The sequence below is a fragment of the Homo sapiens genome, chromosome 9 (genome assembly GCF_000001405.40).
Source record: "Homo sapiens chromosome 9, GRCh38.p14 Primary Assembly".
NCBI lineage: Eukaryota > Metazoa > Chordata > Mammalia > Primates > Hominidae > Homo > Homo sapiens.
In genome coordinates this window covers 13,482,785-13,506,448 of record NC_000009.12, presented here as the reverse complement: position 1 = coordinate 13,506,448, position 23,664 = coordinate 13,482,785, and the positions used below count along the sequence as shown (strand labels likewise).

Below are 23,664 nucleotides of genomic sequence, written 5' to 3'. Positions count from 1 at the left end.
AAATGTAAATTCTGCCGGGCGGGTGGCTCATGCCTGTAATCCCAGCACTTTGGGAGGCCAAGGCAGGCCTGACCTGAGGTTGGGAGTTCAAGACCAGCCTGACCAACAAGGAGAAACCCCATCTCTACTAAAAATACAAAAATTAGCCGGGCGTGGTGGCATATGCCTGTAATCCCAGCTACTCGGGAGGCAGAGACAGGAGAATCGCTTGAACCTGGGAGGCGGAGGTTACAGTGAGCCAAGATTGCACCGTTGCACTCCAGCCTGGGCAACAAGAGCGAAACTCCATCTCAAAAAAAAAAAAAAAAAAAAAAAAAAAAAGTAAATTCCTGTGCTGCACTCCTGGGATTCTAATTCATGAAATGTTTGATTTTTATGCAAATAGAATGTGAGCCAGACTTTGAGAAGCTTTTGATTATCCTAGCAAAATGTGAGGGCAAAGAAGAATAGATGGAGAGGGAGGAAGTTCTGTGAGCATAGAAAGGGGCCGGCTAAGCATTACACCCCATGCCAAATGTGAACTATTGCAAATATATGGCACTGAAAACTACCAACACTGTATACAATGAATATTATGCTTCTTTTTAAAAAGGTTACATTGAATTCAGTATTAGCAAGCAAAAAACGGCAAGGTGGGAGGAGTTACATTCAAAATAGATACTCCTCTGAGACAGGGTACAGGGTACAATAAAGCTCATCTTTCTTCCCTCTTTTTTTTTGTAGAGACAGGATTTTGCCATGTTGCCCAGGCTAGTCTCGAACTCCTGGGCGCAAGCAATCAGCTCACCTTGACCTCCCAAAGTGAGCCACCATGCCTGGCTCATCTTTCTTTAGAAACAAGTTGTTTGGATTTTTCTCCTTTTTTTTATTTTTGTATTTTTTTATTTTTAGAGACAGTCTCGCTTTATTGCCCAGGCTGGAGTACTGTGGCACAATCATAGCTCACTGCAGCCTTGAACTCCTGAGCTTAAGTGATCCTCCTGCCTCAGCCTCCCAAGTAGCAGGACTACATGGACCACTACACCCAGCTAATTATTTTTTTTAGTTTTGTAGAGATGGGATCTTGCTACATTGCCCAGTTTGGTCTCAAACTCCTGGCCTCAAGCAGTCCTCCTTCCTCCTTGGCTTTGTTTTTTTAAATAGTTTATGCTTTACCAACTGATATGGTTTGGTTGTGTCCTCACCCAAATCTCATCTTGAATTGCAGCTCCCATAATTCCCATGTGTCATGGGAGGGACTCGCTGGGAGATAATTGAATCATGGGGGCACTTTCCTCCATACTATTCTTGTGGTAGTGAATAAGTCTCACAAGACCTAATGGTTTGATAAGGGGTTTCCCCTTTCACTTGATTCTCACTCTCTCTCTTTGCCTGCCACCACGTAAGACATGCCTTTTACCTTCCGCCATGATCATGAGACCTCCCCAGCCACAAGAAAATGTGAGTCCATTAAACCTCTTTTTCTTTATAAATTACACAGTCTCAGGTATGTTTTTATAAGCAGCATGAAAACAGACTCATTCGCCAACAAATAATGGATGGCTCCATTGTTCATTAAACTTCTCTTTCGACTCTGAATACAAAAGGACTTTGGAAACAAAGAAAAGACAATTTGTTTTCTTTAGTGGTGTAGACACACTGCAGCTAGATATATTGACTATGTAAGTAATGAAAAACAAAACCACAGAAGAAAAAGTATGTCAATTAGGGTGCTCTGGTTATCAATTACTGTGTAACAAACTACCCCCAAGTTAGTGACTTAAAAGCACAATCATCTGATTGCATCTCACATTTGTGTGTGTCAAAAATGTGGCTTGGGCTCAGCTAGATGATTCTTTTGCTCCACATGGTATAAATGTAGGTTACCTGGAGGTATCAGCTGGTGGGTGGGCTGGTCTAGTGAGTCCAAAATGGCTTCATTCTCATATCTGGCTTCTTGGAAGAAGGGGCTAGGAGCCTGAATTTAGCTAGTTCTGTCATCTGGAGCATCTAAACATAGCCTTGGGGCTCCCAGAAACAGAAAATCAAAGCTGCTTGTTTCTTAAGGTCTGAGACTAGAACCTGGTACAATGTCATTTCTTATTCTATTTGTAAAAGCAGTCATAATGCCTGCCCAGAATCAAGTGGAGACATAGACCCCACTTCTTCAGGAGAAGACTGTCAATGAATTTGCACCCTGAGATCTTAAGTCTATCACACAGTGTTGCAGAAAGGCATATAAATATTTCTTTCCTTGCCGACACATCAAAGGTGGTTGAACGTGTAATCATTACTTCCCCATCCTTATTGCCCATGCCACAAAGAGGAAAAAACCTTCAAAGAAAAGTTAAATTTACAAAATCAGGATGCATTTGTTTACTTTCTTTCCTTACTTATATTGTATAAAATAAAGCAAAGATTCCAAATTTTGTTTGGTATAGTGACCAACCAGTGCTGTGTAACAAATTACCGATAATTTGTTTTGAAATGTATTACCAGTAATGTGTTGCTATTAGTAACTAAAAAAGATTTTTTAAACAATTCGCTTATTTTTTATATTGGAGTTGGGTTCACCATCACTGTTACTCACATGTTGAGTTACATGTAGTTTCCTAGAAATCTCCCCACAGCATGGAGTAAGCCTATGGGAATGTTCCAAGCAGGTTGTAATCACCAGGCAAGAATGATAGTCAAGAAAAAAATTCCTTGAAGGTGTAACTTTTCAGCTGAGAGCTAAAAGATGAGTAGGAGTTAACTGTGCTAAGAGTTATGAATGTTTCAGGCAGTGGAAACATGTGTAAAGAGTGAAACAAGTTTGCCTTAATCAAATGGCATGAGAGACGATCAAGACCCAGGAGAGCTATATCAAGTCAGGCAGTGACTTGGAGCCACTTAGAATCATTAGGGCGGAGACTAAATATGCAAAAAAGAAAACAAACAAACAAACAAAAAAACAAGAAATCAAGCTTAGAGTTCTTCACAACAATCTTCTCCAACTCAGTCTTAGTTTTGCAAATAATTTACAGGAGTGGTAGGCTTAGTCTAATCTTTCATGTCTCCTATGTACCTTTTAGAGATACACATGACAATTGAAAAACAGCAAATAAGCAGGGAATGAATCAAGAAAAGACAAGATCAAGAGTCCCTTCAACAAAATAATAAGCTGGTTTTTAGATACTTTTAATATTTCTAATGAATTTCATCACAAAATTTGAAAAAAATCTGGAATATCCCGTTTGATTAAATTGTTCCTTACTTTACAGAAGATGAAACTGAGGAGCAAAGAAGTTAAATGGCTGCCAGTGCCCCATGGCCAGTTAGGAGCAGAGGGTGGGAGAGGCTCATCATTGAGTAATACATCTAGATAATCACAACCCATCATACATGACTAGATGAGGGGATGAGGTTCCTATCTTTCATTTATAGACCAATAAGAAATGGAATCTCCTTCTATTAGAAATCATCACAGATTGGGTTCCCCAGGAATCAGCTTCTGAGACAGAGGTGAGCATTTATCAGAGAGTGTTTGTAGAATTGACACCTGCATGGGGAAAGGGAGAGAAGCAGGATGGCAGAGAGGAGTGGGCTGAGCTGCAGTCACAAGGCCTCAACCAACCCTGCAGGGAACTTGAAGGCTGGGATGGCCCTTCAGGAGTGGCCACAGAGCAGGCCTTTATAGCCCTGCATCAACCTATCATTGTGTTTGGGCTGCTCCAGGAAACCAGCAAGTGGCTGTCTTCAGAAGAGACAGTTCGGAGCGCTGGCAACGAAACCTTCCCAGCAGCTGGGGCTTAAATTTTTCACACATGTCTAGGCGGATCTGGACAGCACAGCACAGCACAGCACAAAGTCCACAGCAGAAGTACCACCACTTCTCACCACCTCCACCACAATCACCTCTGCCTGGCCAACATCCGGTCTTTCCTGGACGATTGCAATAGCAGCCCCCTGGACAGTCTCCTTCCTTCAGGCTTTGCCATGGACAGAGTTTGCCTCAAAACACAAATGAGACCGTATCACTCCTTCACTGAAAAACCTCCAGTGAATTTGCATCTCACACACAGCAAAACCCAAATCTTTTACCACAGTCTATAAAACCCTATTTGACTTGGCCTCCTCATTCTTATTTTATTCTCATTTAAAAATACAAGGTACATATTTTAAGTGTACAGTTTGATGGGTTTTGACAAATGCGCATACCCATGTAACCACCCCAATTAAGATATCAAAAAATTCCCTTCACTACAAAAAGCGCTCTTGTATATTTTTGCAGTTGCCTGTCCTTCCATCCACCCTCAATTTTACAGAGGTAACCACTGCATTCTTATTTTAAAGTTCTTGCCTCGGCTTAAAACAACAATAAATAGAGTTGGATAAGGATGTCTCATTTTTCTAGGAACAAAATAAACGATTTACCTCTCTCATTGAATCAGCTAGAATAAAGCAGAGAGGACAAGGCACTAATATTCAGAACCACTTCCTTCCAAAAAGAATGCATGGTAAACTTCTATCACCCCTAAAGCCAGTATTTTACCTAAGGTGGTGTTACAGTCATACTTAGCATTTTGCAGTGGTTACCAAAATCTCCGCTCTCTTTTCCTGTGGTGAGCATATATGCTTACACTTGTGCACGATAAGCAGCTCCTGCTTTGAGTTTGCTTTGCTCTTAGGAATGAAAATGTAAAACAATCAAATGTATTCTTTTAATGGCAATCACACTGCTACAAGTAAACAAAATGGATGCCACCGCCCTTAATTTAAACAATAAGAATCACTTTAGAATGCATGACATTCATGCCAGCGCAAAAACTTGTGGCTTTAAGTAGGTGCAGATGTTTAATGGGGTTTGCTGTCGTTCTTACTGGTAATCTCTCAGCATGTACCAAAATACATTATTTCATAAGATTGATTTTGGCAAAGAAATTTCTCTTTAGCTTTTGGTGTTTCCGTGAGGTGAGTTACAACTTAAAACTAAGTGAGAAATTTTAAATACTTCAACCTTATTCCTCTGGACGTTTCTCCACTATAGCCAATTGTGTTAAAATAGCTTTGATTGCAACAAACAGTATGCATTTGTCAACCTTGATGGCATTCACCAAAGATCTCCAAAGTAGCTGGGATAATCTGGGGAGTAGAACAACAAAGCGGAGGATGATAGAACTGTTGGTGGTGGTTCTGGGTGCTGGAGCACCATGTTAGATGAGTCACTGAGGTTGGACTGAGATAGAATAGGGGAGAGGTTTGAGTCCTGGACTGTTTATGAATTGGAAAGCAGTAGTTGATTATTCCTGGCAGGCAGCATCTGAAGTCACTCCTTTCAGATCTGCTGAGATGACTGTTCCATTTTGATGGCCCCTTTCATGGAGAATTCTGGAAAGTTAAGTAACATCCTATTATTTATAGGCAAAGTTGTACCAATTCCTCAGAGTAAATAAACCATGTATAACCATGTAAAGGCAAAGTTACATAAACGATGAAACTCATTATGTTTGAATATTCAAACAGTTCCCCACCAATACACAGTTCAAACTAGCCCCTGGTAAAAACACGATTGGGAAGGGTGGCATGTTTGCAACACTCAAGCTTACTAATGCCCTCCTTAAACCATCACACGGGAAAGAAGTATATACTCAATTTCTTCCTAGGAACGTACTAAGACTCAGAGTATTTCTCAGTATTGTCCAAGGGCATGGTCCTGAGAACAACGCCCTAAACTAATCAAGATGCTTATATTTAAATATAGTTATTATGCAAGTTGACTCCACAACCATTACTGTAGTTCCTTAGAAGTGAGACTGTCAAATTTATATTTAACTATAGAATGTTCACTTAGAGTTTGGGTATGAGTGTCAGGAGAGCAAACTAAAAAACAAACCCTACAGATTTAAAATGGTTGTGTTAAATTTTGTCTAGTTTTATTTCGTAAAGATCAGATCATAAAATAGTACTTACATTTTTAGCATTAGGAAGTTTCACAATTTCCACATTATAAAGTACAGAAGGAAAATATAGGATATTATGTAGCTATATAGTTCCTGCAATATAGAGAATCATTTAGCTTTTGCTGCAGAGCCAGCCCAAAACTTAGCCACTTAGCCACTTTGTTAGTTGACAATACTGCTGGGTGGGTCTTTCTCTGGTTCAGGCCAGGCTTCTGATCTCATCTGGGTTCACTCACATGTCTGCAGTCATTTGGCGGGTCATCTGGTGCTGGCTGGTGTCAGATGACCTCATTCACAGGTCTGGAGGCTGTGTGCAATATTCAGCTGGGGCAATGGGAGTATCTTGGCTATCTGATTCTGATCTTCCAATAATTAGCCCAGGCCTATTCATATGGTGGCACTGGCAAATGTTCCAAGACCCAGTATGCAAACAGACTTTAAGTCTCATTTTCAAGTTCCACTGGCCAAAAAAATTATGGTGAAGCCCAGAGTGAGTGTTAAGTGGGGACCCCAAAAGGTCATGGATACAGAAAGAAGTAAAAAATTGACAACTATTATTTTACTAATCTATCACATATAAAAAAGGTGAATTCAATTTTAATAAAATATGGAGACACATGGAATTGAAAGATTGAACCATTAGTTCGAAGATACTAATGATAGACTTGTCTCCTAAGAGTGCGGCTTCTTTGAACAATGCCATGGTTTTTTCTCGTATAGTCCTGCTTTGTTAGGGGTTCCGTCCTTCCCTATTCTAAGCTGTTTCTTTCCATGTGGGAAGACCTTGACTAGGATGATCCAGTGAGCAGTCCCTTACTCACTGCTCCTCAGGAGAAAAGGAATGAAAAGTTCAAGAAAGAATATATTGGGTAGTACTTCTCTTACTCATGGAGGTGAATCTGACTGAAGACAACACATGTTCTTGGTCATAAATAAAAGTGGAGACCAGCCTGCATGACTGAGTAGGTAAGTTTGTTTAATTATGCAATTTAATATTATGAAGATCTGTCCATAGACAGAAGCATCCTCCAATATCAGCTTTATAGATAATGAAGATGACATTTTTATCTTCCATCTGCCTTAATCTTTTGTCTTGTTTCTCATTTGGGTCACAGCTTGGGCCCTTTCAAATTTTAAGACTGGTTGTGGGACATATAAAATTAATCCTGCCTGGCTCAGTAAAGTCAGTAATATATGGAACGCAACTTAAAAACATACTTGCTACCTTCCAGATTCTTGAATGCAGTGTCTCATATGTCCACTGCCTTAGAATCATCCAAAGCATTTGTTAACAATTCAGATTTCTGGGCCCCACCAATGACCTACTGAATTTCTAATTTCTAGAAAACTGAACATCTTTAACAAGTCCCAAGGAGGTTATTTATTTTAACTTGCTTCTTAATTATATAACAAATAAAAATACATTATTTTCAAAGTATCACTGCCCTCTTCTTCAGATACCCATATATTGCATTTTCTACCTAGTCTGCTATCCAAGGTAAACACTATTTTTACTTCAACATGGATCCTTGCAGATCTTTTTCTTAGATTTGCATACAGTGTGTGTACTTCAGAGATTATTATTTTACATGTGTTTCTATGTGTTACCTCAATGAGAATGTGGCTTTCTGTAAATGAATTATTATCAATCAACAACATATTTCATGGATCTTTCCATTACACAGCACATTATATCTATCATTATATATTATACATTACATAAACATTATACGTATATATACATTATACAACATACATACTATACATTATGCATAAGTCGAGCTTCTTAATGAAACATAGTATTCCAGATTATGAATGAACATTTTTAATAATCCCCTACTGATTGACACATTATTTTCAATTGTTTGCTATTTTAAACAATGTTGCAATGAATACTTACACGTAGGACTCATTATGCGCATATGTATTACCCTGTTCTCAAGCTGCTATGAAGCAATCCCTGAGACTAGGTAATTTATAAAAGAAAGAGGTTTAATTGGCTCACAATTCTGCATTGCTGTGGGGGGCCTCAGGAAACTTACAATCATGGCGGAAGGCAAAGGAGAAGCAGGTACCTTCTTCACCAGGCAGCAGGATGAAGTGAGTACAAGCAGGGGAAATGCCAGATGCTTATAAAACCATCAGATGTCATGAGAACTCACTCACTATCACAAGAACAACATGGGGGAAACCACCCCCATGATCCAATTACCTCCACCTGGTCCCACCCCTGACACATGGGGAAATGAGGATTTCAATTCAAGGTGAGATTTCGGTGGGGCCACAGAGCCAAACCATATTACCATATAAAGCATTTCTCTAGGTAGTTAATAAGCAGTGGAATTGCTGGGCTGCTGGGCTGTTGCATGTTTTAAATCTTTGCTGTTGATTGTTGTGGTGGTGGGTTTTTTTGGTTTTGTTTTGTTTTTGTTTGATTTGGTTTGTTTTTTTGAGATAGGGTCTCACTCTGTCACCCAGGCTTGAGTGCAGTGGCACCATCTTGGCTCACTGCAGCCTCCACCTCCCAGGCTTAAGGGATCCTCCCACTTCAGCCTCCCAAGTAGCTGGGACTACAGGCACTTGCTACCACACCTGGCTAATTTTTGTATTTTCTGTAGAGATGGGGTTTCACTATGTTGCCCAGGCTGGTCTAGAACTCCTGGGCTCAAGTGATCCATCCACCTTGGCCTCCCAAAGTACTGAGACTATAGGTGTGAGCCATTGCCTTAAATATTAATGCATACTGCCAAACTGCTTTGTGAAGTAAGCGTACTAATTTATACTTCCCAGTAATTTACTGAAATACTCACTTTCAGGACCGGGCACAGTGGATCATGCCTGTAATCCCAGCACTTTAGGAGGCCGAGGCAGGCAGATCATGAGGTCAGGAGACCGAGACCATCCTGGCTAACAGGGTTAAACCCTGTCTCAACTAAAAATACAAAAAAAAAAAAAAAATACTCACTTTCCCCAGTTTACATTATCAAACTTGAAAAATGTTTCATTTTCATTTTAGTTTGCATTTCCCTTATTTATTATAAAGTTGAGTATCTTTTTATAAATTCATTGCAATTTATGTTTCCTCCTTTGTGAATTTTCCATTTATTATCTTTACCCATTTTTATTTTGGGCTATTTGTCTTCTGTTTCTACCTCTTTCCACCTTTTAAATACACATTTTTTTATGGAATAATTTTACATTTACAAAAAAGTTGCAGTGTTAGTGCAGACAATTTCTGTGTCCCCCTTAGTCAGTTTCCCCCACTGTTAACATCTTACATCACCATGGTACATGTGTCAAAACTAAGGAATCAACACTGGCACATTACTTTAAGCTCCAGGTGTTAGGCGGAATTCACCAGTTTTTCACTAGCATAGTTTATTTATTCCAGGACCCCATCAGAATGCCACATTGGATTTGGTCACCATGTCTCCTTAGTCTTCTCTGGTCCATGACAGTTTCTCAGTCTTTTCCCACTTTTTATGCCCTTGGCAGTTTGAGAAGTATTGGTTAGGAATTTTGTGAATGTCCCTATTTTTTCTCATGATTGGATTGGTGTTATGTGTTTCACAGAGGTAACATGCCCCCCTTTTCACATCATATCGGAGGGGTCATGATATCAACACGACTTCTGACTTTTCATGTTAAACTTGGTCACCTACCAAGGTAGTATTTGCCAGGTTTTTCCACCGTAAAGTTACTTTCTCCTTTTTCCATATTATTTTCTTTTGAAGCAAGTCACTCAAGGTGAGGGGAGGAAGGTGGGAGTGGGACTGGCAGTGGCCAAGCTCCACTTTCTAGGTGGATACTGTCTACTAAAGTATTTGAAATTCTTCTGCAAAAAGACTTGTTTCTTCTCTCCTATTTATTTGTCAAATCATTTCTCTATATCAGTATGGGCTTGTGTATATTTATTTTATACTTTAAGCTATAATCCTGTACTATGTTATTTATTTGATTGCTCAAATTATTCTAGCTTTGGCTATTGTAAGTTCTTTCGGGTGGGTTTCTCTGTCCCTTAGACATGCCATCATTGTTTTTGTTTGTTTGTTTGTTTGTTTTTTGAGCATTTCCTTACTTTGAGATACTACCAGATGCCCTGGGCTCAATTTGTATTTTCCTTTTTTTCTTTTATGTTTGATGAAATTTTATATATTTTAGCTAATTTTTGAGTATTGTATAGATATTTGCAAGTGTTCTCTCAGTTTCTTGGCTTGTCATGTAGTTTTGATATTATCAAAATTATGCATATTTTTCTTAAATTTTTTTTTCTTTTTTTACTTTTGATCATAGAAACATGTTTATGTTTTCTCCTAATAAACATAATCTTGCTTTTACTTTTACATTTTCTAATCTATCTAGAATTTATTTTTGCAAACGCCATGATGTAAAGGTACAGCTTTATCTTTTTCCCACATGGATAGACAATTACCCTTACATCATTCCCCGTTGTTTGAAAACGTCAGTGGTAAGACTTTCTTTTCTGCTCCATTAATCTATTTGTCTTGTCTATTCCCTTACCAATACCACACAGTTTCAGTTACTAGAGCTTTAAAAGATGTCTTTGTTTCTGTGTGAGCATGCGTTTTCTTATTTACACTAGCTTCTAAGAAACCCAGTAGTCTAATTATTGTTGACATTTTGAACCAGATAATTTATAGTGGGGGCTGTCCTGTGCATTCTAGGATGTTTAGCGGCACCCCTGTCCCCTAATCACTAGAGGCCAGGATCTCCCCGCCTCCTGACCACCAAAAATATCTCCGGTCATTGCCAAATGTTTTCTAGGGGGCAAAGTTGCTGCTGGTTGAGAACCACTGGCTCAATATAATGAACAAATTACAGTGTAAGTGGAATGATAGACTCCTACAAATCCTACTGTGTTTGATTTTCTGTTCCAGCATTAATTTGCTTAGGATAATGGCCTCCAGCTGCATCTATATTGTGCTGAAGGACATGATTTTGTTCTTTTTTATGACTGCATAGTATTCCACAGTGTGTATGTACAACATTTTCTTTATCCAATCCACCATTGTTGGGCATCTGGGTTGATTTCATGTCTCTGCTCTTCTGAATAGTGCTGCAATGAATATACGAATGCATGTGTCCTTTTGGCAGAATGATTTATCTTCTTTTGGATATATACCCATTAACTGAATTGCTAGGTAAAATGGTAGTCACTCATAAGTGTGAGCTAGATATTGGATACTCATGGACATAAAGATGGCAACAATAGATACTGGACACTCCTAAAGGGGGGTAGGGAGAGAGAGGAGCAAGGGTTGAAAAACTAACTGTTGGGTACTATGCTCACTACCTGGGTGACAGGAGCAATCATACCCTGAACCTCAGCATCAAGCAATATACCCATGTAACAAACCTGCATGTATAACCCCTAAATCTAAAATAAAAGTTGAAATTACTTAAAAAAAATCTAGGTGAAGGAAGGGAGAATTTAATTTGTATTTTAGTTTGAACCTGACTTTTGTGCTTTCATAGCTTTTCTATATTCGCCTGGGCTATCACGCCATACACAAAAAGATAAAATTACCAAAAAAATCCTACTGTAGCTTATGATGGGTGTAGACATTCTGGTACCTGAAAGAATTGACCTCTCTGCCCCTCTGACTTAGGCTTAGATATATGTCCTATTTGGCCAAAGAAATGGGAACAAACATGATATGTGTTTGCATTTAGCATTAAAAGCCAGTTTTCACATATCCTTGTTCTTCTTCCTCCCCTGCTGTGGAAACGTTGGAAGCATGTGTGAAAATGCCCAAGTATCCTCCAGTGATCTAGTTGAGCAGAGCCCCTACCAAGCCAAGTTGACAGTGTAGTAGAAACTACAAAATAAACTTAATATTTTAAGCCAATGGAATTTTTGAATTTTTGTTATCATGCATCTTTTGGTCTATCTTGACTCATATATTTAAGTTTACACAATCAGAGAAATATAGTGCTGCCTCTGCACACTAGCTTAATTAGAAAATTATTTATTTCCTCTGTGTCTTCTGTTCCCTGATGCCTTGGTGCTAGGAGAAAATGTGAGCACAAAAGCTATCTAAGCAAATGAGGTTGGCAGAAACTTTTGTTTTTTTGTTAGTGCTTCCAGGTGCCAATTAAGGAATTGGGAACCAGAAGCTCTGGTGATGTTGAGACAAGGTTCCATTTGGATCTCCATTAGAGGCAAAAAACACACAGTTGCTGGTTTCACTTCTGTAAAGATGCTCTCTATAACAGAATATCCTTATAGAGGTACTTTATACCCACAAAATTCCTGAAAATAACAAAGCAGTGGAAAAGGAAAACAGACTAAGGCCTTCACAATTTTAAAGGAAAAAAACCCCAGAGAGCTGCATTTCAACAAAATTCAGTGTAAATTGGGCTTGCTTTTACCAGTATTTGTTTTAATTAGTACTTCTAAAATCATTCTGTGTTTTAGTCATAAGATTGATCAAATCTGAGGTCTTGCTTAATTGCCATTATTCTCAAAGTCTAGGAAATAAATAATTTTCAACAAAACTGTCCAATGACCTTTTCGGGACATTTTTCGGTAGAGGTGTACAGTATTTCACCATGTTCTTGGCACAGCCCTTCCTCCTCTAGTCATCAAAGGCATGTGTAATGTTCTGTACTTTCTGCAAATTGTTCCCAATGCCAGTGAGACAAATTCTAAGGAACACTCTGTGGAGAGTTTGGATTATTCAAAGAGTCTCCAGCTCTCCACACACCCTTTGGAGCCAATTCCCTGGAACGGAAACTATCTCCCTAATTTTCTAAATTGGTAGGTGTGCACCATTACTCACCAAGGAAATTTATTGCCTAAGAAAGAGAGAACAAATGGAATTGGCCCATGCCAGGTGTAACTCCAGCAGGTGTACAGCTTTCCTGCCTGGCTACATCAACCTATTTCCCTTTAGTTCTTTGCCACCCATTTCCCAGAGATTCCTTATTTATGCCACAACCATTAGCAACACAGCTCCAGGGAGCCCTACTAGGCAATGTCATTCTTACTTTAAGTGCTTTCAGTAAATAGGTGAACTCAGTTCTCCAGCAGGAGGGTTAATGGGTCAAAGAAAAGTCCAGCTGCTTGAGTGTCAGCATTGGCACTTCTTATCACCGATGTCGAATAGGTCCTTCATGTATCAAAACATTGACAGTGTTTATACCCAGGAGCAAGACAATGTCTTCGAATTTGTTCCATGAACATGGGCAGCAAAAATGATTTTAATAATTGGAAAAAGTCTCTCCAGACTCACCCCACATAAGAGTGTCTGGCACATTAGTTGGTTCTCAATAAGCTTGAAGTGAAAATGCTCAGAGCACACCAGTGCACCATCATCTTTAGTTGCCAAAACAGAGACCTAATGGTTTTACAAAAGTATCTGCACTGAGTACATGACCAGTCAAAGTTCTACTAACATATGCTTTTCTGGAGGGTGTCAATACCATTGTTTAAAATAACCCTTCTGTTGCTCTTCCAGATAACAGCAAGGAAGTGTAGAAATGTGACTCTGCATACTTTTATTACGGTAATTATGATAATAGCAAATTTACGGTGTGTTTAGTATGTGCCAAACACTGTATCCTAAATGCTTTCCTGGATTAACAACTGTAGGCTTCATGAAAGCACAACATAACGTAGTATCCCCAATGCTGGAGGCACATACAGTGCTTCATATTTGGAAGTGTTTTCTAAGTACTTGTTGAATGAACAAATGAATGAATGATTACAGCATTTCATTTAATTCTCATAGTGTCACTGATGGGCTGATGAGGAAACTAAGTTCAAAAGTCACACATTTCTAGTAGATGGTGAAGTAGGATTTGAACTCAGATTGTCCATTCATAAAGCCTGTGCCCTTGACCCCTATGGTGTTCATTTACTCTTTCATTTTTAACCTGTGGAATAACAGGAAAATTCAGAGATGGCAAGTTTCACAAAGACTCACTGTATCCTAGCTCCCCACAACACTGCCCCTCATTCCACTAATTACAGAGGGGCCAGTACAAGTCTAGTTCTCCTGCCTATTCAGGAAAGAAACGTAAGTGCAGGGTAAATAAAGAGTGTCATGTCTGGGGAACTAGGATGTGGGAGATTAGAAAATTATAGACACCTTATGCAACGTCGATGAGATTTTCTTGCTGTATCACACCAATTATACAGGTCCTTCAGTTCACATAAAGAGCTCATGTAATCACTGACACGTACAAGTGACCTCTTCTTGGAAGATGACAAAGATTTCATTTTACAGGGTTTTTTAGATAATTATCACAGGTGAAAACTTCTGCATTCCTTTTTCATTATGTCTTTGGCACTTCTGGGAATAGGAAAGGCACTGAGTTGCTTACATACCTGACCAGTGTCATGCAATTCTGAGCCAGCCAGCGTAGCTACTCTTGGGTTAAGCAGTGAAAAAGAATGCCTTCATTGTCAAGCGAGAAGGAAAGCCTACAGCTGCCCTGCTGAAAGGTAAATAGGAAGGGAGATTCTCTTCACATAAAAACCAATTCTAATGCACCCTACATTCCTTGGACCGTCACATCAAACCACACGTGGCATGAAAAAGTGCAGATTTCAATTTAGGTAATGTACACGCCGTTGAAGGTTAGCAGAGGACCATGACCAGGCCAATCCATCTTCAGTAGATTAATGTCTGGGTTAGGCAGGTATGTCATAAAACATGGCCAATGCAGGGAGATGCTCAGGGATGGCCTCGTTCTTCCCTAATGCATTGTGATGCTTGCCTGTAAGAGAGCTTTGGTACTTGTAGGGCTATTGCTTTTAAATGTTCCTTCTGACCCAGATAATGTCAAAATGTCTGAATGCACGTGATCCTCTTTTTCCAAAAGAGCATCTCTAATGTAATGCAAATGCACATTGTAGGGGAAATTCCAGCTGAGAAAATGAGGCCTTATATTTCTAAAACCATATACATGTCAATAGCCCATTATTCTCCTGTTTTAAATGTAATTGCAGCCCAGCTTTGAAGGAATTCCTGAAATAATAAAATACATTGAGTAGCAGCATTGGCTCTTGAAGTTATTTTATGCCTGCTCTTCCTCCCTTCTGTCCCTCCTTAGCCCCAAAAAGCAAGTAGCGGTTGTAGAGAAGGGAGAGGAAGAGAGATAAAAGTGAAAATCAGATCCCTTGTCTTGAATGTATTATCAGAACACTATGTGCAAAGAAAACATGCAGCATTACAACATCAGTACCTCTAAACCATTTTTATAAATGTATCATGCATGGTCCAATTTTGCATGACAAATTATTTCCAGGCAATTAAGAATACTTACAATTGTTTTCTTTAGTAAGAACTTTCTTCTATTCCCAATTTTGTTTAAAGCTAATGTTTCCTGTAAAGCAATCATTTTGAAAGAACTCTTCAAAATCACTTTCTCTCATAGTTGTGTGGGCTGTCTTGCCTCCTCTTGATACATTTAACATGTGTATAGTACAACCTTTATTGCCAGACTAGTGAATTTAAAGGGCTCATTATTTCATTCAATTCCACTTCTGACACTCCACTTCTCTGCCCTTTATTTCTACCTCTTATCCTCTCTTTTTCTCAGGAATTGTCTAAAAAATACTTCTTATGGTTAAAGGTAATGATAATATATTTTATAGCTGGGAGTTGCATAGTGATCTTCTTAAGATTTTTCTCCCTTTGGAAGGTAATTGAGACCACGCCTCTTTTAATAAGCAAAATTAAGATGTCCCAACTTCCTGGAACACAGGCATGAAACTTTCCAAAGAGGTTTTAAACATAGCAAACGAAAACATTTTAGATAACTAAATCAAATGTTATTCAGCACATCCTACACTTTTGCCGGAATTTTGATCCTCAAAATATCAGACTGACATGAAGTTCTTCAACTCACTTGTTCCTTTATTTCTGAGTTGGGTTAATTTTTACAAGAGGAAGAGTGCTCTGTTTAAAATTCTTCCTACAATTTCCTGCAAGAAAACAAAACAAAACAAAACAAAACAAAACAAAACAAAAACCTTTGGGTAATCATTGTGGTTCTTTGGTCCAAAGGACCTCAAATCTTCCTAATAATATTCTTTAAGTCTCTGAGTTCCATGATAAAGCACTATGTCATTCCCTGGAAGGATGCATTTATTCAGCTTATCTTTAGGATTGCTTTTTGCTACGTGCATCAAAATATTCAACCAAGTTGCGTAAAATCTAAAACATTTATTATTTTCAGAACAAGAAGGCCAGAGGAGGTGATTGCTGGGTTGCTCTTGGGACTCGATATCAATAAGGGCCCATCTCTTCCCAAGCTTCTCCTCTGCATGTCTCCAGTGGGGTGTTGAGGTCTCCCCTGATGGTCTCAAAATCACTGCCAAAGTACTAATCATCAAAGCTTCCTGAAACCACGTTCCCAATTGGAGTGGGGGTGGGAAGTAATGGCAGAAAAAAAGGCTTTCTTCCTACTTCTGCTCATACCCCACTGACCAGAACTGGCTCTTCTATCCACGCCCATACCAATAACTAGTGGAGGAAAAAGGTGACCTGTGATTTACTTATGACAATCAGGAATCACCTCCTGGGACTGAGGAAGTTACCACGTAACGAAACTGGAGTTTCCTCAAATAAAGAAGAAAGGTGTAATAATGACAAACAGACACACACTAGTGTTTTTCCTACTAAGGTAAAAAAGAAATAAAGTGCTTCCTTATTAGTCCTTTTGTCTCCTTCCAGTTAGCCATTTTGATTCTTACCAGGAAGCTTATTGCCCTTCCAGGTAAATATGTAGAATTTTAATCAGATTGAAAACACCACAGAAAGTAGTCTAGCTATCAGGTATATCAATCCGCAGTGAGAATCAACTTTGTGCTCCACTGGAAAAAGTATATATATATATATATAATTTTTGCAATGAGGAAGGCACTAGTTTGTTTTCTCTGGACAAGCCTGGCATTATAAAATACAAATTGCTTTGGAAAGCGAGTTTTTATGTTGGTTGTACAGAACTTTATAGGTTTCAATAGAAATTATCAAAAATTATAGTTGGTTTTCTAGCCAGCCCCCCAAAGTCTGTAACTCCCAGGAGGACCCTGGAGTGTACTGCTGACTGCACCTCTGTACTTACTTCTTAATTGCTTCCTGAACAATAGTCACAAGTTAAGCAGCTGTAAGTCTTGGGTCACCTGTATAAGTACTTGGAATTTACCCCCAATCTCTGGTGTTATGCCAAACAATTTGTGTCCTAAAGCAATCAAATCAATCCTCTGCTATAATAGAAACTTGTTTCTTTGATGTCTCAATGAGCTCATCCTTAAATATTTGAAAGCGAGGCAGTGCCCTTCCTCAATTGTCACTTGGCACAGAGCCATGTGGATTTGCTGTTTCTGATCGTGTAATCCACATAATCAAAAGTTTTTCCACCTCGAGAGGCAGCCCATTCCATTTTAATATTCCATGTTGATTGCATCAGTTGAGGAACAATCGATGCCATGTGGCATCCCTTGCTTCCATAGCAGCCATTAGGTGATCAAAAATATGAATTGTATTTAATTCTTTTGGGTCTGTCTTATTTAAATTGTTTCAAAAATAACAACTGGAAGGTTGAAGGATATTTACAAGTTTCTTTTTTTTAAAAAAGGGGATCATTTTAAAATCTTGATTGTTTAATGTGATGATATGAGAATCATTTGGAAGCATTTGGTTACCAGTAATACGCACCTGAAAACCAGTGGTCCCGACATATTAGGGGGTTATTTTTCTCTATCATAAAACAGGCCTGAAGATAGCCCAGGATTAGTATCACAGGCATTCAATGCATGTAATAGTTTTCTTTTCCCTGCTTCTGCTTCAATAACACCAATTCTGAACCCTGACACATGGTTAGAGGTGGGATGTGACAAGAGTGGAGGCTGAGGATGTGCTAACAAAAAGGAAAGGAGTCAAAGACGAGGGAAATCTGTATGAGGACAGCAGGAAGAAACAGGCATTCCGTGGTAGTTGGAGTATGTAAAAATACATTGTTAACAAGTGTGGTAAAGTTTCCTTATAATGGAATTCTTAAGCATTATTTACTAAGGTGTCACCAATCTCCAAAAACCTTGGAGCTTTCATCTTTCTTTAATTTATATTACAGATTGTATTCATATAAATTCTACCTCTTATCTGTTTGTCATCAAGCTGAATTTATATCAATGTTTGTAACCCTGAGGATAGACAAAACTAAAATTAGCTCCACATCAGTCTGAAGGGGGAAATTTTTTGTAGATAAAAACAGTCTCTTTAAGTCTATGGTAGTTGATTAGTCCCTGCAGTAGAGAAAATTAAATTTTGTGGTTGAGACCCAGCGTGCTTGGATGGTTTAATAATACTGTGGCCATGGTCCAATGGCTAACAACCAAGAACTTAGGTACGCTCTGTACTTTAGTCCCTCGTGCAACACCTGAAATTCCTGGGGCGAATCAAACAGCAAATTAAAGCTCAGACAACCTTCACCTGCAAACCATGCACAGTATAAGGAACTCATTTTAATGTTTTCTGGCTGAAGTCATAGGGGATAAGAAAACAAAAGAATGGCCACGAAGGAATCCTGGTAAGTTCTTAAAGCATCTTAGTTTGCGATACATTTTCCCCCTTTCCAGGTTCTTGTAACTTTAACTGCGCTTAGAAGTTAGTGAGTTTCTCTTCCTCTAAATTCCAGGCTGTACAAGGGCCAAATTGAACGTGGAATAGGAAAAAAAAAAAAAAAATCTTACGAATGGGCATACATCTTGAAGGGTACTGCTGTTTGGAGAAGCAGCATCAGGAATTTAACTTTGTTTCTGTGGAGCCCTTCCAGTCCTATGCTGAGACTACATTGCAATGGGCAATTCAGTGACTCCCTGGCTCCAAATAGTGTCTAGTTGATGAGACAAAACCAAGTAGGCAAAAGCACCACTTACACACAGATCTTGGATTTTTTTAAAGATTAAATCTGACCTTTTTTATGGGTTCTAAAATATTTAGTTCAATGATATGAATTTGTATTCCCAAAAAAATTCTAGAAGAAAAGTTTTGGTATTTTAATTTATTTATGATGCATGTGGTTTGTGGGTTGGAGACAGAGATTGAAAATGATAAGCTAAAAAAAACAGAGATTGAGTATTTGACTATGTACTAGTTTTCAATTGTTGATACATATTTCACAAACTGGGTGGCTTACAACACAAATGTATCATTTTCTCATTCTGAAGGTCAGACGTCCTCAAATCAAGGTGTTGGCGGGGTTGCGTTTCTTCTAGAGACTCGAGTGAATCCACATCCTTGCCTTTCCCAGCTTCTACAGGCTGTCTGCATTCCTTGATTTATGGTCCCTTCCTCCATCTTCAAAGCACATTACTCCAGCTTCTGGTGCACATCTCTCTTCTCTCTGATTTTCACATTCCTGCCTGCCTGTTATCTGTACGCTTGTGATTACCTGGATAATCCAAAAATAATATTTCCATCAGAAGATCCTTAATCACACCAGCAAAATCTCCCCTTCCTCCTTTTACTTATTTTTTTCTTGTGAGATAACATATTGACATGTTCTGGGCCTCAGAATATAAACATCTTTGGAGACCATAATTCAGGCCACAGGATGTTTAAAACTAACCTCTTTAATTGAATTGCTGACTCCTTGATGTGTAATATACATGGTTTTTCAACAAAGGATGGGGATTGTGCCGTCTCTTTACCACTGTGAGAATTATTTTCTAAAATTTGAGACGAGAGTGGCTTTACTTCTCGTTTAAAAAATGTCAAGAGCTTCCCCTGATGTCAAATAACACACAAATGCATGCTCAGGTAACTATCCATACGAAGTATATCCCATATGGATTCAAGTAACTTTACAGTATTTTTCCATTTAAATCATTCACTCATCCGATGGTACATTTTCTTACCCAAGATCTTTTACTTAAACTGCTCCTTCAGCTGATTCTTCTAATATGTGGTCAACACCCAACCCATTTTATAAAATTTATTTATTTCATATTCCACCACCTTCTTAAAGCATTCCCAGATACTTTTTTTTTTTTTTTTTTTTTTTTTTGAGACAGATTCTCACTCTGTTGCCCAGGCACGATCTCAGCTCACTGAAACCTCTGCCTCCCGGGTTCAAGAGATTCTCGTGCCTCAGCCTCCTGAGTAGCTGGGATTACAGGCATGGGCCACTACCAAGCTAATTTTTGTATTTTTAATAGAGTTTGGGTTTCACTATGTTGGCCAGGCTGGTTTTGAACTCCTAACCTCAGATGATCCGCCCACCTTGGCTTCCCAAAGTGCTGGGATTACAGGTGTGAGCCACCGCACCTAGCCATCCAGATACTTAAATTTGGAGTTCTCATTATTAAAATAACTAACAAAATACAAATAATGTTATAGTTACAAAAGAGAATTATGCTTTTCAATCTCTGTAAAGTGGGAATCTAAGTTCTTTCATTTCCAGATGAAGAAACTTAGTCTCAAAGAAGTTAGGTTACTCGGTGAAACCCATGACCGCTGAGTCCAGATCCATGCTTATTTTCAGTTTGCTATCTAAAACATATCTAGTACTGACTCTAGACCACTCTGTAGACATCTCTCTCTCCCCTTGTTCTTTCTCTCCAAACTTTGTTTTTGTTTTATGATACTTGTCACAGGCTGTTTGGTATCATAGCTATGTTTGTGCTCATCTGCTATTCTGTAGGCTTTGAGAACAGAAACTGTGTCTTTCATTTCAGTATTCCATTTAGGACCCAGGAAAAAGAATTCACATGTATTGACTGCTTATTGTATACTGAGCACTTTTCTCATTTATATTATTTGTAACTCACAATTACTTCGTGAAGGTGGCATTGTTCATTTCATTTAATAGATGAGGCCATTGGAATTTAGGAAAATTTCATAAATGTCTTTGGATACACAGCAAGTATGTACGATAGTCAAGCCCATATTCTTCCTATATGCCTTGCTGCATACACACTCAATAAATTTTTGTTGATGTGAAACAAATATTACCTTAGTGTAACTATTGTGAAATATGTTTCCCTTGGGAGATGGTAAGACAACTGTGGAATTTGCCTTTAGGTAGAGCTCCAGGAATACATTCTGAATGCCAAAAACCATGGGAAGAGGAAGAAGGAAGAGTTTTGTGAGTTCACCTTACATTCTGAGGCCATAAAAATACCCTCCCCTGTCAGAAAACTGATACTTAAAGCCAAAGTTTGCTTAAAAGGCATGATTTTAGCCTTTGGTAAATAGAAAGTACCTTACACTCAGCCAGCCAGGAGAGATGATTTAAGTTTTATTTCTGGACAATACTTGAGTAACACTTTGGAATGTGATTCCCCGCCAAGTGGACGCTGTTGGTTTCACACAGCTGTAGTTAGAGATGGCAAGCGCTATTTACTGGGAAAATGATAATGCAATTGGATGTTGTACTGAACCCAAGGGTGAGATAATTTCTGTTGTGCTGTATCACAGGCCTGCAGTTAAGTCTGTTTGGTCAGCGTGTTGGTAGAGCCTATGTGGTTGATGCTATTTCACAGGACTTAGTTATAGAAGAGGAAGGTTTACCTTCATTTTAAATTAATGCAAATGGTGCAGATTCAGCCCCAGTCAACTGGTATTTTCCAGATTCATAGTTTACTTTTCAAGTGTATAGAATGTGTTCTTCCCCTTGGATTTCTTTAACTGAAATGTTTACACTTGACTCAGTAATCCCACTCTTGGGAATGCACACTAGGGAAATGATTTAAAATAAGAAAAGAAGCGATGGGCATATCTTTGCAACATTATTTATAATCATGAAACATTGGAAAAAACCAAAATATCCAGCAATCAATGAATGCCTAACAAATTATTGCACACCCTCTTAAGGGAATCATTATGCTGCAATCAAATTATAATTATAAAGATCATTCAATAAACAAATACAGAAAACCAAGTAGCAATATGGGAAATGTCCATAATGCATGAGGAAGTGAAGAAGTAGAAGGCAAGCCTAGCTAAGGTTCGCCATTTTATGGTTTAGGATGCAACTTACGTACCCTTGTCAGGTCCCTGTAGCCAGGTATGTCATAAAGTTTAGGCTAATCCACCAAGTCCTCAACTGCCTCCCAAATATTGCCAGAGATTTGGCAATATGCTCTCTGGGGGCTAAGAGATGGGAGGAATCTAGTCTACTTGAGTCATTTCTCCATGTGCTGCCTGTTGCTGGAAGTTGCTAGCTGCAGAATATAATATGGTCTTTTCCGGCTATGCCCAAAGAAAAGTGGCTGAGGGAAAGTCAGCTCCAGTAACTTGTAAAGGGACCAAAGTGATGTTTGCTCACCAGTGACACCTGGCAATGGGAACTGTCTAGCAAAACAGAGAGAGCCCTTGGTTTCCAAATTCTTTTCATTACCTTACCAGCTATCCCACAGCATATGAAGATGCTCCAGAGTAGTGGAACAGTGAACATTTCCAGTTTTGGTTGCTTTATGAGTCAACATTGGTGGAGAAAGGGGCCAAAGTGGAATTGTGGCTCTCTTGGGGGAAAGCTCATTGGAAATCATGTAGCCAAATTTTCTCCAGGAGAAAAAGGAGGCTGTGGGAACTAGTGCTGCTTCTGGAGCAGAGCTGATTGGAAATTGCCAAACACCGAAGGGACTCTGATGGGATATCTTGGTGGCAGGAAGGTAAATATTGTTCTCAGAATATAGCTATACTCCCCCTGTTCTGGTCTTTACCATGAAGGCCAGATTGGAGCCCTTTTTGTAGTAGCAAGTTCTTCACTCGAAGACTATTCCCTGATGTCATGCTCACTTCAGAGAACCCATTCATTAGTAGCCTGAGACCCCAAATATACTAGTTCCTTGTACATCTAACTCTTTGTTTAACCATATTCACAATCCCATTGTAGGCCACAAGACAAGATCAGGACTAGTTCTTTCCTGATATATAACCACCGTTCCCCCTTTTCTCCTCACCTTTACTCAGGCCAGGCATAGTCATTTGGTTTCTACTCTGTTATACTTCTTTCTGTCCTTACCCATGTAGAAATAAGATTGTAGGCATTTACACTCATTAGGCCTTGGTTGTAGCTAACCTAACCCACAACCTCCATTCAAATCTCAGAAAAAAGGAGTTAGTTTATCTGTTTCTCCTGTCTCCTCAAATCTCTGAATATCACATGCAGGTTTGTCCAACCATTCCCCAGAATCGTCATCCAAGAGAAAGGGCTTGTTTTGATTAAACAAAAAGATCCTCTTACTCCTTTTGTTCAATGAAAAGAGGAACCTGGAAGGTTTGCTACAAGATATCCCTGAGGAGGAGGAGGAAAAGTACATGGAAAAGAGGAGGAGGAAGGAAAGGGAAAAGATGGCAAAGGGAGTAGGGGGAGTAAAAGGAGAAAAGGGAGAAAGAAAAGGAGGATAAAGAGAAAAAGAAGAAGATGGAAGAATGAGGAGGAGAAAAAGGACCTGGATGCAAAAATTACGATAATAACTGTGAAACTACTATGGGTATGAAAGAGAATATAGAAAAAGGAAGATGGTAGATGTGTTAGAACTTTGGGATAGATCTTGTTTTTCTTAATTTCTTTTTTAAAATTTTTTAAAATTTGTGTAATGCCGTTGAGAAGCAATGCTTGGTGAAATAGATTTGAATTCATCTGTTGGTGTGCTCAAAATGGTACATAGGAAACTTTTGACTGACAGAATAAAAATCTATATTCCAGCCCAGCTCTGTTGTTTAATTATGTGACAGACAAGTCATTTAACCTCTCTGTGCCC

At 38.9% G+C, this 23,664-nt stretch overlaps 1 long non-coding RNA gene across 1 annotated transcript in view; it reads right to left on the bottom strand.

Moving 5' to 3' along the window:
• Window positions 1-18,941: 18,941 nt before the first annotated feature.
• The window catches only part of LOC105375977 (uncharacterized), a 46,773-nt gene continuing 42,050 nt past the window's right edge, over window positions 18,942-23,664 (bottom strand). The window contains exon 4 of the long non-coding RNA XR_929484.3: window positions 18,942-19,346. This is a non-coding gene — a long non-coding RNA (uncharacterized LOC105375977). The remainder of the gene's footprint in view (window positions 19,347-23,664) is intronic.